At 46.8% G+C, this 14352-nt stretch overlaps 2 annotated features.

Annotated features, from left to right (window-relative positions):
- Positions 7322 to 7591: an enhancer, noted in NCBI's record as "active region_28007". NCBI's record gives its function as "activates an Ori minimal core promoter by ATAC-STARR-seq in GM12878 lymphoblastoid cells {active_cell/tissue: GM12878}" and the evidence as "EXISTENCE:reporter gene assay evidence [ECO:0000049][PMID:35858748]".
- Positions 9724 to 10225: an enhancer, noted in NCBI's record as "H3K4me1 hESC enhancer chr8:134708677-134709178 (GRCh37/hg19 assembly coordinates)". NCBI's record gives its function as "activates a minimal SCP1, AML or CMV promoter by ChIP-STARR-seq in primed H9 embryonic stem cells {active_cell/tissue: H9 hESC(primed)}" and the evidence as "EXISTENCE:reporter gene assay evidence [ECO:0000049][PMID:30033119]".

A 14352-nucleotide genomic window follows, 5' to 3' on the forward strand; every position in this document is an offset into this window, starting at 1 on the left:
ATTCTGTTTGATCCCTTATCACTCGTTTCCAATGTCCTGGTGTGTTAAGTCTGAGAACCCTTCAGTTCAATTTGTGTGGAAGATAAGCCTCTGATCTCTGTATGCCCATGCGCACGCACCGGTGTAGCTGGCTTCCTGGCTGGACAGGATCAGTAGAAATTGGGTGGATAGGTGTCTACCTGCTTTGCATATGCATTTCCGGACAATTCCACCCTCAGCCTTGCTCCTACCTTCCTAAGTACCCGGCGCTCTGCATGAGGGCCTTTCGGAGCTTCTGCAGGGTGATTTGACTCATTTCTCATTGTTCTATTCTACTGTTGCTGTATCTGTTTTTCTACTTTTCATCTCTCTTTCTCTTCCATAACCTGAAGTCAACAATCATCTTATTTCATATGAATCCTGAAAGAATTACATGAGGTTGCACCGGTGAGAAGCCTGGCATTGTGCTTGCCATATAGATCACTGATAATCGGTGGGGTCTATTTTCCTTCCCTCCCATCTTCCCTCCTTCTCCTCCTCTTCCTTCTTTCTCTCTTTTTTTATCTTTCCTCCTCCCCAGCATTATGCATTCATATGCTTCAACTACCCCAGGCTGCTTTCAGGACAGCAGTTTGTAATTACTGCAGCATGGTGTATAGTGTCTGTGGCAAATTTATTTCCTCTCATATTTCTTGTAAGTGTTGCTGATGCTGAATGAATGTCTCAAATCACTCAGAAGGAAACAAATAGGATGGAAAACCTGCTGGTAATAAGGCTGGATCATGAGGCATGCATGCCTAAAACAATTGTTCTCTTCTTTGCCTCAAGCTGTGCAGCCCATTAGAGGCTTGTCTGGGGAGATAACAATATGCCCTCTCCTGGAGGTGTGTTTTTTCCTAGAAAGGCTTGGTCCTGAGCTGAAAGGAAGATGGGAGGACTAGAACCCTGACCTTAGTCAATGGCCTCCTTCTACAAAGTGCTTTAGAAATGAAAGGGAACTTAGAGAGGATTGAATTTGTAGGGAGAGAGGCTGGATCCAGTGACTAGAGTTGCCTTTTTTCAAGGTCAAAGCAGTTTGTGGCTGAGCCTGGACTAGAATCTGGGTCACACCTGGTCCAGGTTTCTTCTGGGTTCAAGAAACAGCCCATTCCTGTTCCCTTTCCTCCTTCTTCTCCAGCCTGTGACGGTTTCTAGCATCCAGCCAGTTGGTTTCGGTTCTGTTTTTATTTGAAATTAATTAGCTCAACCAATATTTGTGGTGCATTTCATGGTGCCAGGCATCATTCTGGGCACTGGAGACGCAGATGAACAGGACTCTGTCGCTCCTCTCAAATTGCTCCCAGGTGGTTAGGGAGACTGATACTGAACAGGCTTTTTCAATTCTGTGTGGCTGGTGTCAGAACACAGGGTAGGCTGGGGGCAACAGGGAGAAAAATCCCTGAGTCTTTTCGGGGGCTTCCAAGAGTTTCTGGGAAAGGTGCTGCTTGAACTAAATTTGAAGGAGAAAAGAGAATAGAGCTTGTCAAAAAAGAGTCAGGAAAGAGGAGGGAGAGGGAGCCAGTCTCAGTGGGAAAAGAACTTGTGTGTGATGGTAGAGTGGGATTTCAACTCCTGTAGCCTGGGCCTAAAGCCCAAGCCCTCTCCTCTTGACCACACAGCCTTCTGGGCTAAAGGCCATACTGGTTTGGGGGTGAGGGTCCTTCTCAGGGCAAGATAGAGCCAGGACATCTAACACTTAACATTCAAAATCTCTCCACCTTCAGGAATGACTGCACCCCAAAAACTAGACCCTTCCTTCCCCAAACACAGTGCCCTCTTATCCTCAAGCAGTACCATGGAATCACAGTTATGAAGTGACTCATCCAGGGTCTAAGGTTCACGCTTCTCTCCTTCTTCCTGCTCAGCTTCCTCAGAGGGGGGCCATGGCAGGATGGTAACCAGAGAAATGGCACCCAGATGTGCAGGGCTTCTTAGGAGGTGCCCCCAGAGCTCACAAAGTACATTCATACACCTGGAATCCTCCCTGGGCAGGTACGCATGGGATAATAACAGCCTTTCACTGGACACTCACCCTGCGCCAGGTAATGAGAAAGTCTTTTATATTCTGTTTTCATGTGCTGAATCTTCCTTCCAGCATTCACAAAACAAGTGGATTTGATCATCCCTATCCCTTAGCTGAGGAAGAGGAGGGTCAGATAGTTTCTGAAACCTTCTCTAAGTCACACAGCAAGTAAGCTGGAATCAAAATGCAAACCAGGTCTACCTGACTCCAGAGATTTCACTCTGGAAAACAAACAATCAAAGAAACAAACTCTGTGAGCAAAAATGTTTCTGGGATTTCACAGGCATCAGTGTAAAACCCCAGATTCAGTCTTGCAAAACCCATTGGCTTTAAAATAGATGGAAGAGAAGTGGCTTAGAGACAGATCATGTGTCCAGTAACTGAGGCTTTATTTGACCACATGATGGTGTGACCCAGATCCTCAAAGCCACACTAAGAGCAGTTGGTGAGTGGGTGGCCACCAAGAGACTAGAAGTGGCATTGGGCTGACCTCGGTCCAGTCCCTACCTATGCATGCAAAGCTTGAGAGGTCTCTGACGTTGGAACAGGCTGTCTGTGAGCAAGTGAGTCCCTGGCACTGGAGGTATGCAAGGATGCATGCTTATCAAGGAAATTGTAAAGGAGACTCCTGCCCTGGATAGGAGGTAGCTGAGCAGGTAAAGTGAAGCCCAGAGAGAGGAAGGAACTGTCCAGAGGGTCCATGGTGCATTGAGGGCAGGACCAGATCTCTGTCTGCAGAGTCTTAGAGGCATCATGAACGTGGAGGAAAGTGACATGCAGGTCACTCTTGGCCTGAGTCACCACTTGAATTAACAGCTTTGCATATTCTACCTAGTGTTTCCTCGCCCAGACCAAGGCCTCAGATTTGTAAAGTGGGGGGTGGACAATTGTTAGGCAGTAGGGGGTTGGAATTCCCTTTTGCAGGCCGGGCTGTGTGAGCCATAAACATTTGTCATAGAAACCCTGGATTTACAGGGACAAAGAGCCCTGAGCACAGGAACAAATGGACTCAAGGCCCATAACTCCTCTCCATCAATCTTTTCTTCTGGATTGTGCAAGACTCTGGCGATTGCATACAGCGGCTCCTGGCAGCCTCGAGTGATGGACAGGGGTAGCGATAAGAGGCACATTTCTGGGAAGAAAGAATGTGCTTGGCCTGGCAGGATGAGGTCGAGGGAGTTGACAGGGAGCCCAGATATAAAACAGACCCTACACACAGAGATATGTGGACAAGGCTCTCCAGTATCCTAGTTGGGATGGGAGGCAAAGATTGGCCAAACTATCTCCAAGAGAGGGCAATTTGGAAGGGGCAGGAGTTGTAGCAATGTTTCTTCTAACTATTTTAAAAATTGTATTTTCAGCTGCCACCTTTTATGGAATCAACAGCAAACTTAATTTCTTTTTGGAAAATGGTTTCGCATTGGGGGATAATGAGTGAAGGTGCTTATCCTCCACATGTAAAGGGCAGGCTCAGACTTGAAATTAGACATTGTAGGGAATCTCCTGCGGCTTTGCATCTTGACAAAATAAGACAAAATCAGAAAGAACGAGAAGAAGACAATCAACCACAGCTGGTTGCATGCATCTTAGAAGCAATCCTCTGCTACCTGAGAGCTCTTAAAGCACTGCAGTGAACAGAAAATGCAGCTCTTATCTGGCTTGAAACATAAATGTATTGGCTCAAATAACTAAAAAGTCCAGACATAGATGTTGACTTGGGGTTTGGTTTTTTCCTTCCATCATCTCTTGGCTGGGCCTCCTGTGACACTTGCTCCACCGCCTGTGACATTGGCTCCATTATCTACACAGGTATTGTGTTCATGGTGGCAAAATGGTTGCAGTAGCTCCTTCGTGCATCCCTCCAGGGTCAGACCTGGTGGAAAAGGGCAAATGCAGGGTTTGCTGGACTGAGGTTAAATTGCCTGCCCTCTGTCTTGAGTCAGCCACTCTTCCCTGAACCCATCACTGAAACCAGGAAGAAGGAATGTACCAATATTTTTAGACAGAGGGCTTATGTTCCAGCCCAGGCATGGGGGTAAAGTCAGCACCACCAGAATCATGTGGATGGAGAATAGTGGGTGGATGGATCCACAAGTGAGAGTTGAGGGGTGCTGGAATCATTAGTGTGAGAGAATGACAACAGGTAGCCAAAAAAATCAACAAAAGTCCATTGTAGCCTGGGCAGGTGGCTCATCTACAATCCCAGCACTTTGGGAGGCTGAAGCAGGAGGATGGCTTGAGACCAGGAGTTCGAGACCAGCCTGGCCAACATGGCAAAACCCTGTCTCTACTAAAAATATAAAAATTAGCCAAGCATGGTGGCACATGCCTGTAATCCTAGCTACTTGGGTGGCTGAGGCACAAGAATCGCTTGAGCCTGGGAGGCGGAGGTTTCAGTGAGCCAAGCTTGCGCCACTGCACTCCAGCCTGGGCGACGGAGTGAAACTCTGTCTCAGAAAAAAAAAAAAGCTCATTGTACTTTCCAATATATTCTTTCTCCTTTTAAGTTAGTCATAGTAGATCGTACTTTCCAATATATTCCAATTCCAATTCCAATATTTTTGTATATTAGCTAAGATCAGTTTCTTTTGCTTGTACTCAAAGAACTCTAATAATAACTGAAACTTGAGCTATGTCAGCTTGGGTGGAGATTTGATCCTGTGTCACGGAAATAATTGCCATCCCATAACAAGTGCATCTCTAAAATCTTGGCTCATTTGGGAAGCAACCTTACTCAACAGTTTCCTGACTGGTGTTAGCATGGGGTTAAAATACCTTGGCACCAACAGGCACCCTCCCATGGCTTTCAGTTAAAATAAGAGAAGATACACACCGGAAACCCATCCCAGCCAGAGCTCTCTGATAGACAGAATCTAAGTCGTGGAGTCTAAAAGAAATTAGTATGAATCCTGACTTTCTCAAACTCAAGCCATGAGACTTTAGGTAGGTCCCTTAATCTCCCCAAGGTTAAATTTCCCCCTCTGTAAAGTGTGGACGATAAGAGTCCTTACCTTGCCAGGGTGATTGTGAGGATTAAATGAGAAACAATGTGTGAAGTGCTTGGCACATTGCATAACCCATGGAAACAATTTTTTTTTTTTTTTTTTGAGACGGAGTCTTACTCTGTCTCCCAGGCTGGAGTGCAGTGGCGCCATCTCGGCTCACTACAAGCTCCAACTCCCAGGTTCACGCCATTCTCCTGCCTCAGCCTCCCGAGTAGCTGGGACTACAGGCGCCCGCCACCACGCCCGGCTAATTTTTTGTATTTTTAGTAGAGACAGGGTTTCACTGTGTTAGCCAGGATGGTCTCGATCTCCTGACCTCGTGATCCACCCACCTTGGCCTCCCAAAGTGCTGGGATTACAGGCATGAGCCACCCCGCCCGGCCGGAAACAATTCTTAATCCATCAGGCATGCTATTACCATCATCATTGTATTAGTTTCCTCTTGCTGCTGTAACAAATGAATAACAAGGCAGTGGCTTAAGACAACACAAATGCATTGTCTTATAGTTCTGTTGTTGAGAAGTCCTAATGGGTCCCACTGGGCTAAAAATAAGGTATCAGCAGGGCTGGGTTCCTCCTGGAGGCTCTAGGGAAAAATCGAATTTCTTGTATTTTCCACCTTCTGGAGGCTACCCATGTTCCCTGGCTTAGGTTCCCCTTTTCCCTCTTAAAGTCAGCAATGTTGCACCTCTCTGACTTGGCTTCTGTTGTCATGCCTCTTTCTCTGACCACAGCTGGGAAAAGTTCTCTGCTTTTAAGGATTCATGAGGTTAGAGTGGGTCCACCTGGATAATCTAGGCTAATCCTCCAATCTCATGGCCCTTAACCTTAATAAGATCTGCAAAGTTACTTTTGTCAGGTCCGTAACATATTCACAGGGTCAAATGATTAGAAAGTGGACATCTTTGAGAGTCATTCTGCCTAACACACACATCATTACTATCTTCATCTTCATTATCATCATTACAAAGCAGTTGGATTACCCAGAACCATGCGTAGTTTGCATATCACATGACTATAAAAGGTAATTTTACAAAATACGATGAAATCTAGCAGAAGTGGTTCTAAAGGAATGACGAGAGGACAATTTACTTGGTAAGGTGGCCAGTTGGCAAGACTGAGAAACTGGTTGCAGTGACAGGAATCACATTTCTGAACCAAAAGCAAAACATCAAAAGGCCGTGGTCTGACAAATGTGAATACTTAAATGGACATTAGGTGAGCATACTGGGAAGATGTAAGAGGGGAAGTGGCCACAGTTGTAGAAGCAGATTTTGGGGTGATACCATTGAAGTAAAACTTAAAGGCTACTATGCCAAAGGGCCAATTTAACAAATGGAAAAAATATGTATATTTCAAAATGTCAGACCTCAAGGAGAAAGGTTTGTGACAAATTAAGAGTGTGAGATTTGAATATTTTACACTAATAACCACAGTGTTTCATTCCTCAGTAGTGACTCATTTTGTTCTCTCTCCATACCAACCCCATCTCTCTCACACAGACACACATGCTCCCTAGTACCCAGGGCTCCCAGGACTCATGCCTTGGGAAGTGAGAGGACTCAGCCCGAATTCATGAAACTCAGATAAAGTGGGAGGCGCATCAGGTTGAAGGGAATCCAAGGGCCATTTCCTTGGGAATTTCAGAAAGAATCTGGGAATGTTATAAACATGGTTGATGCTTTGAGAACACAGGTTCTAGTCTGGATGAAGTCTTGGCATGTTCTTAGAGTTGCCTGGGGCTCCAAGCTTTGGTGATTGGGAGGCTTTCACGGATGCAGAGAAGAAACACTACCCTGTGACAAGCATCACTGCTGAAATCTCTCTGTGGGCTAAGCCTCTTCATTTACTTAGTATCTGAGAAAGGAGGAGAAGAGTGGCTTCCTGTCATTTGTCCAATCCAATACATACTTGTCGAGAGTCAAATATGCTGAAGCCATTCTAGGCCCTGGAATAGGAGGTGAGCAAAGCAGACTAAATCCCTATGCACTGGGGCTTATTTTCTACTGTCCACCTCTCCTTGGTAAAGTTCTACTCACCTTTGAGACCCACCATGGAAACCACATCAGTCATTCATGCATGAACACATTCCTATATTCCGTCAACATCTCTTAAAAATATACCATGCTAGACACTGAACCTTGCAGAGGTGTGAGAAGGTCTTTCCCCCAGAAGCTGAAGTGCAGAAGATAAGACGTGATAGGTAAAGATGCACACACATGGTATCATGGGGGCAAGGTGAGAAGCAGAACCAGTGCTAGGAGTATAGATTGGCCAATCCCAGACCAAGGGCAGAGGCATCCTTAGAGGAGGTCTCCCTGGGGCAGAATGTCAGGAAAGGCATCCCCAAGGGATAACTGGGTCAGGGTGGAGTGGGGCTGGTGCTGTGGAAGCCCTCAGTGTGGGATGGCTCATGGGGTTTCAGGGAAGCCTGGGAATCCAGGTAGGTGGAAGAGCAGAATGGGCAGTGGTGGGGAGATACAGGTGACAGGGAGAGCTGGAGAGTGGAGGGCAGCTACTGGGGGCCCTGTGGCCACATTGCAGATACTCTTTTGGGACAGAGGGCCTGGGGGAGGGTGAAAAGTGCCTGTCTTGGTGACCCCCACACCAGTGATTATGCATTATGACAGTTTGACCACAAAAAAAGCACCCCATCTACCCCCGACCTGTTTCAGGAAACGGTTAGCCACAGAAACCCTTAGCCCTAATATTGAACAATCCTTCCTCTTTTGAAACTGAGGAGCTGCTTGCCTGCCTTTGCAGCTAAGGGCAGCTGAATCTACCTGAGGACCTATTAGGATGTTTCCTCGCAGCTAAAAATCCCGCCTTAATAGTATACTTGTCAATCCAAGATTGTCTCAGCATTTCCTGTTTTTATTCTATAAAACTGACTCTCCTTTCTAACACCTTTGAAGCCCTGCTGAAATGAAGGCGACAGCAGGCTACCTCCCTTGCTGCAATTTTATGGATAAATGTCGTTTGTTTATTTGATCTTGGATGCAGTGTTGTCTTTGCCACTAGAAAGCGTGACATGAAAGATTCTGTCACGATGAGAATACTACTTACTGAGGATTCGCAATGGGCCACTGATCAGCACTTCATATAATCTGCACAAAATCTCCCATTAAGTAGGTACTCTTGCCTTCATCAGCATCATCTTCACTTTATAGGTAAAGAAAGTAAGGTACAGAGATGATAATGAACTTGCCCAAAGTCACACAGCTGGTAAGTGATGAAAATGGGATTTGAACCCAGGCAGCCTCAAGATTCTGCACTTTTCCCCACTATACGATGTGGTTCTGATGCTGATGAGGTTTTCCTTCACATTTTTGAGGGCCTGTAGTGTTTTCTGAGTTCGGAAATGACGCGCGAGAATTTAGACCTCTGATGGACTGCTTCACCATTCCTGAGGGATGATGGGGTGAGGGTGGGAGGCTGAGGGGGGTAGTCCGGACACGAAGCCCAGGCAGAGGCCCCAAACCAGTGCAGTGGCAGCTGGGATGGAGGCAAGTGTGAGCCATGAGAGACCTTATCCAGTAGGCTGACACTTTTCCAGGCTGGAGTCTTTAATTCCAACCACAGAACTTGGAAGGACAGGTAGGTAGGACAGATAGCATTTTACAGAAGATGAAGAAACTGAGGTCAACGGTGGGTCACTCGCCTAGAGTCACTCAGCAAACTTGTGGCAGAACCAGATTCCAAGGATTCACTGGCTCTCAGTTGTGGACCTGGAGGGAAGGTGCAGCCCCAGACACAAAGCTGGAGTCCCAGGACATACCTGTTGCTTCTGCCTGTGGGGTATTTGAGCAGCTCATGCTCTAGCCTACCTGCGCCTCATCACAATAGTTCCTGAAAGGGACATTGGAGTTAGAGTTTGAAAGCCACATTTATATAAAGTGTCACTTTGTCTTCAGGCCAAATGTGAAAACTGGATTGTGATTTCCATTTTGTGGATGTGGTTTGGGGGTTAAGCGATAAAGCCAAGGAGACGCAGCTGGTAGATGGAGCAGCTAGGTCTAGTTCTTGGCTTTGAAGTCGAGGGGGCATTGACTGCATGAACTGCCTTCATTATCCACTCACCTCATTAAGAGCATTGGCAAGACTGTGAAATTGACCCTAAGCATGTGTGTGCTTTCTTTGAAACATAACTTAAAGGGTAAGTGTAAAGATTCACAATGCACTGGAAAGTGGGGGTGAGGTCTAGCAGGGCCTTTTCTGATATTCTGAGAGGTCATTTAAATCTTGTCTGGTCTGTTTCCAGGCCCTGCAAGGCACCAGGCTTGCTTTGACTGGCTGCCCTCAGAGTGTATGAAGATGAGAGTGTTATTAGAATCCAAAGTCATTCATTGGCCAGTGCTGGTAAACTAAAATCCGAAACGTGTGCAAAATGCGTTTTTTCTTTGGAGAAGGTGACATCTCATCTGAGTGCCTCAGGCCCCTGGAAGATGTTATCTGCTAAGAAGAAATCACACATGCCAGGTTACCCGTCTTTAGGTGATTTCTTCGAAGTGTGGCCGCACCTCCCTTGATGACTGCTGGGGGGTGTAATGAATCACCCACTTGCGGGAGAAGGCTGGAGAATTTGCTTTACCAGAGATACAGAAGTGGAGGGAATGCACAGATATTGAAGTGTGTGTGCACGCATATGTGAGTTTACATGCTTTGCATGCCCCTGTGTGCACACATGAGTGCATTTGTGTGTGCACAAGTGCATTGATGTACACACATGTGCATCTCCAGCCCTACTGAGGTCTCACAGAGGGGCAGATCAAGACAGTTCCTTAGAAACAACTACTAGCAAGGCATTTATGGAAGTGGCCTGGCCCTGGGAAGCTCAGAGCATCAGATTGTGAAGCAGAATTTTACATAATGACTCCAGGAAAGGATGCGGAGTAATGGAAGGAATACCGATTTAGAAAGCAAGGGGCTAAGCCCTGTCTCTGCTCCCAGCCTACTAGGCGACTTCAGGAGACTCATTAACCTCCTGAGCCTCGTTTTCCCCACATGCGAAGCTGTAAAACCCAAACTCCTTGCCAAGGTGTTCCAGGCCTGTAGTGGGCGCTGCGGTGCATGACTCTCCTTCAGGACTGAGCCCCCTGTCTCCCAGCTGCCGGAGTGTGGGCAGCTTGTGCTCCTCAGAAACGAAGAGTCCTTCATCCAAGGTCACACTCCCATCCCTAGGGAGCAGCTAGCCGGGGACACACCCATGCAGGTGTCAGGCCCAGCCTCCGGCCTGATACCTCTGCAGGCCCTCCCAGCTCTATGCTCCCTGCGGGGCCAGCAGAGACCTTTCTTGTGAATACAAGGCAGCCCGGCTTCTCTGCTAGACTTCTGCTTCCCTTTCACTCCTTTTCAAATGGACAGTCCCAAGAGCACGTCCCGATGACTCCCCTGCCTGCAGACTTCCATCTCAGGAGATCCCAGACCAACACCCCAGTGGTCTGTGCCTCGGTGATGGCCCCTCCTCCACTGTCCCTCACTCTGCTGAGGGCTGTGCAGCCCTTCTCTTCATCAAAGCACACTCAAGCCTCAGGGCCTTTGCACCTTCCTTCTGTAGAAAACTCTTCCCCCCACCTTTGTAGGTGGCTTCCTACTATTTAAATCTCAGCGAAATGGTCATGTCCTCAGCAAGGCCTTCCCTGACCCCATCTAGGGTTCCTCCCTCAATTAATCTGAAAACATCACTGTTTTATTTTTTTTCAAGGCCTTTATCACTCCCTGATATTAGGTTTGTTAATTATGCAGTTGTTTATTTTCTGTCACCCACTCCTTTGAAATGAAAGTTCCCTGAGCATAGGATCTGCAGCTTGGCTGCTGCCCCATCCGCAGTGCTAACAAGTGAACCTGGAACAAGGTAAGCCCTTGACAAATATGTGTAGAGTGAATGGGAGACAAGGTGATACCAGACAGGGTCCTTATCCTAGGATTTGGGACATCCACTCACTTGGGTGGTGCATTAAGTGTAACAGATAGCTGCAAGTTGTGTGGCTTAAAGCAACAGGGACTTATCCTGGCACTGTTCTGGCGGCCGGAGTCCCAAATGAAGGCGTTGGCAGGGCTGTGCTCTCCCCGAAGGCTTGCAGGAAGAATACCTCTTTGCTTTGCCCAGTGTCTGGTGGCTGCAGGGGTTCCTTGGCTTCCTTGGACACATCATTCCTTTTTTTTTTTTTTTGAGAGGGAGTCTTGCTCTGCTGCCCAGGCTGGAGTGCAGTGGCGCGATCTCAGCTCACTGCAACCTCCCCCTCCCGGGTTCAAGCAATTCTGCCTCAGCCTCCTGAGTAGCTGGGATTACAGACTCCCGCCACCACGCCCGGCTAATTTTTTTGTTGTTGTTGTATTTTTAGTAGAGATGGGGTTTCACCATGTTGGCCAGGCTGGTCTCAAACTCCTGACCTCGTGATCCACCCCCTTCGGCCTCTCAAAGTGCTGGGATTACAGGCGTGAGCCACTGTGCCCAGACACATCATTCCAATTTCTGTCTTGCTGGTCACATTGTCTCTATCTTCCCATGGCCTTTTCCTGTTCTCTATGCCTTCCCTTTCATCTCTCATAACAGCACTTGTCATTGGATTTAGGGCCCACCTGGGTAATCCAGGATGCTCTCATCTCCAAATCCTGAACTTACTTGTCTGCAAAGACCACATTTTTTCCCCTAAGAAGTTTACATTCATCGATTCCAGAGATTAGGACATGGACATACTGTTTGTGGAGCCACTGTTCAACCTATTAGAGGCAGGAATAAAAATCCATCTTCATTTTGCCTAACTTTTAACCAATATTTAGGATTTGCTTCAATCATGAATACAGGCACGGAGCGCAGTCCCCTCAGCGGTGTCTATCAATTTGTCATTAGTTGATATCACAGAGATTTTTGCCATAGGAGAAAAAGATGCTCATCATTTTCATAAACACAGCCCTTATCACACTCCCCATTAGTTCTTGTTATAGAATCTGATACTAGAGAGCCCGTATGTTGTTCTTTTACCAATTTGTTTTTAAACTAGTTTGAAAGGTTGGGCATGGTGGCTCCTGCCTGTAATCTGAGCACTTTGGGAAGCCAAAGTAGGTGGATCACTAGAGGCCGGGAGTTTGAGTCTAGCCTGAGCAACATAGCAAGACCCTGTCCTACAAAAAATTTTAAAAAGCTGTCTCAAAAAGAAAAGAAAGTTAGCTGAACTTGGTGGTGTGTGCCTGTAGTCCCAGCTACTTGGGAGGCTGAGGTGGGAGGATCACTTGAGGCCAGGAGTTTGAGGCTGCAGTGAACTAGGATCATGCCACTGCACTCCAGCCTGGGCCACAGAGTGAGACCCTGTCTCAAAAAAAGGAAAAATAAAATAAACTAAAAATAAATAAACTATTTTGATGACCATATTGCAACTTAATTGGTAGCTCTCTAGTCCTGTGTATTTTGTTTTATGCATTGGCAAACATTATTCTGCGAAGGGAACCACAGGTGTTTTGGGAAAGCCAGAGGAGGCTAAGAGCATCTGGATGGAGGGTCTCAGAGGTGTTTTGAGTTTGTTTTTTTAACCTTCACAGGTTAGGCATTTTTTTTTTTTGATCATATAGTTTACTATTGATTTTTTTGTTTGTTTGTTTTTGATCAGTAGTAACACTATCAGAGGCAAGACAATGAGCTCTCTCTCTGCGGTCAGTACTGAGACCCAAGAGCAGAGGGCTGGACTTTGAGAGAGGAAATGTTCAATGCTATGATTCTTTGCATCTCTCAAAGATGTTTCCTGTTATCCCATGATGTTGACAGAGCACAGGGTGGCAGATCATATGGAAAGCACTTTGGGATCCACAAAGAAGAGAAGCAATTCCACTTTGAAGCCCCCGCATCCATAGCTGGCTGGTGAACAGTCACCAAATGAAGACACACATGAAAGACGGTGTGTGTAATGGGCCAGCAAGACATCGCTCCTATTCAAGGAAAGAACCCACAGAGAACACCTGCAGCTTGTTCCCTGAAAAGCTGCTTCCCATAGTCCAGGGGCAAGTCAAGGCTGAACCAGCTTTGCAGAGCACAGAATTGTTCTTGTTAAAGCCTCATAACTGTGAGCCACTCCAGGGCACGGTGGGTCAGGCAGCCATGGCCCATTAAAGTGGGTGATAAATATTTCATACCCTGGGCTAGAGGGCACCACTGGCTTCTGCTCACTTCCTAGCTGTCTGCAGCTCTCATGGACTTGTCTCTCCATTAACTGTGAGAATTATGTTAAAGCCAGACCTATACCAGGTCAGCATTGCTATCTTGCCTGCAAAACAGATTAGATGACTCTCAAGACCTATGTCTATCTACCCAGAGATTATTGCTCAGCCTGACGTATTTTGATGACACAGATGCTAAGCTTTGTATTTTATTTTATTTTTTGAGACAAGATCTCACTCTGCCACCCAGGCTGGAGTGCAGAGGTGCATTCAAAGCTCACTGCAGCCTCAACCTCCCAGGCTCAAGTGATCCTCCCACTTCACCCTCCCTTGTAGCTAGGACTACAGGTTCACAACACCATACCGGGCTAATTTATTTTTGTTTTTGCAGAGAGGAGGGTCTCACTATGTTGCCTAGGCTGTTCTCAAACTCCTGGACTCAAGTGATCCTGCCTCCTTGGCCTCCCGAAGTGTTGGGATTACAGGTGGGAGCCACTGCACCTGGCCCAGATGTTAAGCTTTAAAGAGGAACTGGATAACATGATTTCAAATAAGAGTATCATACCTGTTGCCCTTGTGTTTGCACATGAATCCAACTTGAACTTGTGTTGTGTAGGCATCTGCCTGTTGGAAACCACCTGGGAAAAGAATTTACATTGGACTTGAAGTGAGGTGCATCAGCTGCCAAGGACACCACTAAAATATCAGTCTCAGCTCCATTATAGGTGAAGTGGACAAACAAATCCCTGATTCTTCCTACCTTACAGGGTCCTGGAGGGCTGGAATGAGAGAGTGAATCATTATAGCTTCCACTGTAGTGGTCCATCGTCCTGCTTATTCCTTGTGGACGGGGCTTGATTGTGCTCAAGTGTTAACCCCACCTTTGGAAGGGGTGACTCTCCTTCCGTGGTACTCATGGTAATTTATTTTCCCTTGCTGGGTCTTGAGTTAGGTAGGACCATGTGACACAGCCCCAGAGGAGGAGACATGAAGGGAATTCTGCTTGGATGCTTCTGTGAAGGTATTCCTGGTTTTCCAAAAAATAAGATAGTAATTCTCCTCTCTTTGCTTTTGGACAGGTTGTGCAAGGACGGCTCTGACAGCCGTGTCAAAACTATGAAGGCGGCATGGCCCACCTGCTGAAGATGTCACAGT

This window comes from Homo sapiens, chromosome 8 (genome assembly GCF_000001405.40).
Source record: "Homo sapiens chromosome 8, GRCh38.p14 Primary Assembly".
Taxonomy (NCBI): Eukaryota; Metazoa; Chordata; class Mammalia; order Primates; family Hominidae; genus Homo; species Homo sapiens.